The sequence below is a fragment of the Homo sapiens genome, chromosome 2, assembly GCF_000001405.40.
Source record: "Homo sapiens chromosome 2, GRCh38.p14 Primary Assembly".
Taxonomy (NCBI): Eukaryota; Metazoa; Chordata; class Mammalia; order Primates; family Hominidae; genus Homo; species Homo sapiens.
The window spans coordinates 186,306,176-186,310,682 of NC_000002.12; the positions used below are offsets into that span (position 1 = coordinate 186,306,176).

The 4,507-nt window shown below is 41.7% G+C and overlaps 2 annotated features.

The window, feature by feature from the left end:
* Positions 1,120-1,620: an enhancer, noted in NCBI's record as "H3K4me1 hESC enhancer chr2:187172022-187172522 (GRCh37/hg19 assembly coordinates)". NCBI's record gives its function as "activates a minimal SCP1, AML or CMV promoter by ChIP-STARR-seq in naive H9 embryonic stem cells {active_cell/tissue: H9 hESC(naive)}" and the evidence as "EXISTENCE:reporter gene assay evidence [ECO:0000049][PMID:30033119]".
* Positions 1,621-2,121: an enhancer, noted in NCBI's record as "H3K4me1 hESC enhancer chr2:187172523-187173023 (GRCh37/hg19 assembly coordinates)". NCBI's record gives its function as "activates a minimal SCP1, AML or CMV promoter by ChIP-STARR-seq in naive H9 embryonic stem cells {active_cell/tissue: H9 hESC(naive)}" and the evidence as "EXISTENCE:reporter gene assay evidence [ECO:0000049][PMID:30033119]".

Here is a 4,507-nt window from a genome sequence, read left to right on the forward strand (position 1 = left end):
CCACGAAATGGCCAATACCCAATTCTTAGCTACTTCCAGCTAAAGTTCCAGAAAGATCACACTGCTTGTACTTCATCATATAAAACCAACATTTTTTCATCCTCATTCAGTAATATGCTGGTAAATTAGTCTCACAGTGGGGAGATATAGATAGAACCCAGATTTGTAACATTTGCCAACATTTATGTTGCAAATACTCCTACCGTGGCTAATAGTAAGCTACTAACATGGCATCACTGAATGTGAAGTTGAGTAGAGATACAGAGTAGTGTAAACTAAAAATAAAATTCCAGGCCCACCCCAACCATCTGAATGGACCCCTCCTCTCAACCACGGGCATTCTAAAGTTTACCTAAAAAACTAGTTGAGGCCATGATGGGAAGGGGGGTCAAATATGCCTCATTATACCCCGCTCCCTTTGGAATTCAGGCACAACTGACCAGCATTAACATTAAAATGGATATCTTAATACTTTTTGTAGCAATAAGACACCAAATTCCAGCCTGACACTAGTACAGCATCACATGAGAGACAGCAGCCCCAGAAAGAAATTGAAGTATTTTACCCCGAAATAGATTTCTTTGACATATTTTGAAATGGCCCTGCAAAGCTGTCTCTTGTGGCTTCAAAAAATCTACATTCTGCAGGAAATCCCCTTCCCTTTCCAGGTCTTTTCCTTGATCCAGGAGAGAATTAACATTAAGAGTCTGGTAGCTTTTCAAGTCTGATAAAAAACATTTACAATCTATTATCTCTGAAGCCTACTACCTAGAGGCTTCATCTGCATAATAATAACCTTGGTCTTAACTTCTTATCTTAACCCAGACACTCTCTTGTATGGATTCCAGGTCTTTAGACAAACTCTTTCAACCAATTGCCAGTCAGGAAATCTTTGAATCCACCTATAACCTGGAAGCCCCCACTTTGAGTTGTCTTACCTTTCTAGACCAAATCAATGTAAATCTTGCATGTACTGATTGATGTCTTAAGTCTCCCTAAAATGTATAATATAACACCAACCTTTAGCCTGATCACCTTGGGCATGTGTCATCAGGACCTTCTGAGGCTGTGGCGCAGGCATATCCTTAACCTTGGCAAAACAAACTTCTAAATTGATTGAGATTTGTCTCAGATACTTTTTGGTTTACAGTAGCACTTGATAATATAGTAATTTTACCACACAGTTAAAATAGACACATACTTAAGAGCATAGATGTGCCTAAGAGCATAGGTAATAGTAAAAGGTAGTTAAATAAATAGGAAGTAATAAGTTCTTTTATGTTTATTATTTTGCATTTAATATAATTTATTTAAGGGTCAGTTTATATAACCTATTTAATAATGGCTGTATTCAAAAATCAATCACAAAATCGCTGAAAATTTAACAACCATCTCCTGCACACCAATATAAGCTGCCTTTGCTCATGGTATTCCTACATGTGGAGTGCCATCTTATCCAATTCTTCAGCCTTCCTCCTTGCCACCCCAGGACTGCAAATCCTTTAAGCCCAATTTTCTCAAAGTATGATCACGGATACATGCTTCAAATCCCCTGGAGTTTCCAGAATGCATATTTTCTAGAATGCATGTTCCTGGGCTTCTCCTCCCAGACTTGCTGAATCTGTAATTCCCTTGTAGGGGACTAAAGAAAAGCTTCCAATTTGCCCTTTGAAGGTTTGCTGAAAAATCAATTCACAAAAAGAGATTAACTGGAGAAAAGGCATACACATTTATTAAAGTGCACATGAGGGAAAAACCACAGCATGATTACCCCCATGCCCCAGTGGGGTTCAAAAATTTATATACCCTCCTGTGGTTACAGAAAGAATGGCAGCTTGGATCATGGCAAAACAGGTTATGGTAGCAAAACAGGTTATGGGAGAGGGAGAAGAGGAAGCCTGGCTAGCAAATGTGGTCTTGTTATATAGATGAAACTCACATGTAGCAGCCCTCAGACAGAACAGATGGTGAATGTTTCTTTCAAACCTTTAAAGGTGTCAGACTCTCAGTTAATATTTCCTAGATCTGGACAAAGAAAGGCCTCAGAGAAAATCTGGCTGCATCATGCAGATTTTCTCTATAGATGCAAATCTCCCCCAACAAAAGACAACCTTGCAGGATTACTTCTGTTTGCAGGCCCTCTGAACAAACATCTCAAAATATGACAAAGAAGTATATTTTGGGGTGAAATATTTTTCTTTCCTTCACCCTGAAAGCCTAGGAATCTGCAATTTAGCAAGCTGGTTTGCTAGGAGAGTCTGAAGCACGTTAAAGTTTGAGAACCATTTGTTGAAACTATTCTTCTGCTAAGGTGTTGTAACACTCAGGAGGTTTTTCCTGTCTGACTCACTCCCATGAGGACAGGATAGGGAAAGAGCAAGGTCACAGGGGCTTGAAATGGTGTGGCATAGAAAACTATGATACTTCAGCAGGCCCACAGGGTGGAAGGTAAGAAGTGTAAATTGTAAAGTAAGGTCTATAGAGGCTGATAAGGGATGTCCCATGGAAGGCCCTTTATTGCAAATGTGGACTATGGTCTTTATGGCTAACACAGTGAAAAATAATTGAAGAGTCTGAAGCCAAAAAGTAACAACCAATATTTGAATAACACAGCTCAATCTTCCTTTTCCTTGTGGAAACAGTAATAACTCATTGAAAAGAACAAAACCATTTTAAACAAAATTATATAAATTTTTCTCAGCTTGACTAAAATCCTGCATCTGTTATCTATAGGAGAAATAACCTCCATTATAAACAAAAGGAAACAAATGAAAACAACACAAGTTCTAATTCTTTTATTCCTAGATGGACAGCCTCTCTTTGAGCAAAGCAGTTGACAAAAGGCAATGATTCCTGTTCCTTCAATTAAATCTTCCCTTTCAGATTGCCTTTCCCTAATTAGTACCACCTGTCAGGGAAGAAAAACTTTTCCTCTACCCTTTTATGTTTAGTAATTGAGGACCTGAAAATTAAACAGACAAAAGCAAATCAGCAAAAGAAAGAAACAGATTTAATTACATGTGTATATACAAGCATTCACAAAGAAATGTGGTTCAAGGAAGTGGTTAGAATAGGGGTTTATATGCCAGTTGAATAAGTGATCAGGAGGGGCAGAGGGGCTCTCCTGGAAGAACAAATGACTTCTTAGAAAGTAAGTAGAGGCCGGGCGCGGTGGCTCACCCCTGTAATCACAGCACTTTAGGAGGCTGAAATGGGCGGATCACGTGAGGTGAGGAGTTCGATACCAGCCTCACCAACATGGAGAAACCCCGTCTCTACTAAAAATACAAAAATTAGCCGGGCGTGGTGGCATATGCCTCTAATCCCAGCCACTTGGGAGGCCGAGGCAGGAGAATCGCTTGAACCTGGGAGGCAGAGGTTGCAGTGAGCCAAGATCATATCATTGATTGCACTCCAGCCTGGGCAACAACAGTGAAACTCTGTCTCAAAAAAAAAAAAAAAAGAAAGTGAGTAGAAAGGACACTTATAGGATGAAGCAAGATGGTGGAATAGAGGGTTTTACTAATTGTCCCCATCCCCAGCAAGGACACCAAGTTAATAACTATCTATACAGACAAAAACAACTTCATAAGAATCAAAAATCAGGTGAGCACTCACAGTACCTGGTTTTAACTTTATATCACTGAAAAAGGTGTTGAAGAGATAGAAAAAAACTGTCTAGAATGCTGACACCATCCCTCTCCCAGCCTTGGCAGCAAGGGCATGGTGCTGAGAGCATTTCTGGGCACTGGAGAAGGGAGAACACAGCAACTGTGAGGCACTGAACTCAGCACTGTCCTGTTAATGCAGAAAGAAAAACCAGACCAAACTCAGCTGACATCTGCCCACAGAGGGAGCATTTAAACCAGCCCTAGCCAGAGAGGAATTGAGGATCCCAGCAGTCAGAACTTGAGTGCCTGCCAACTTCACCAACGAAGGCTACAGTACTCTGTGTCTCCAAGTAAATCTGAAAGGCAGTCAAGGCCATAAGCACTGCAACTCTTAGGCAAGTCCTAGTACTGAACTAGGCCCAGATACAGTGGACTTGGGGAGTGCTGGGGAGTGGCACGTGACACACTGAGACACCAGCTGGGGCAGCCAAGGGAGTACTGGCATCACCCCTCCCCTAACCCTAGGCTGCACAGCTCATGACTCCAAAAGAGACCTCTTCCTTCTGCTTGAGAAGAGGACAGGGAAGAGTGGGGAGGACTTTGTCTTCCATCTTAGATACTAGCTCAGCTACAGCAGGATAGGGTACTGGGCAGCATCGTGAGGTCCCCGTTCTAGGGCTTAGCGCCCAGTCAATATATCTAGGCACACCCTGGGCCAGAAAGGAACCCACTGCCTTGAAGGAAAGGACCAAGTGCTGAAAGCATTCATCACCTGCTAATTGAATAGCCCTTGCAAACAGAACAACCAGCGGTGATACCCAGGTAACTATGTCAAGGTTCTTGAGTGAGCCTCTGAGATTTGCTGGCTTCAGTTGAGACTCAGCACATTACCAGCT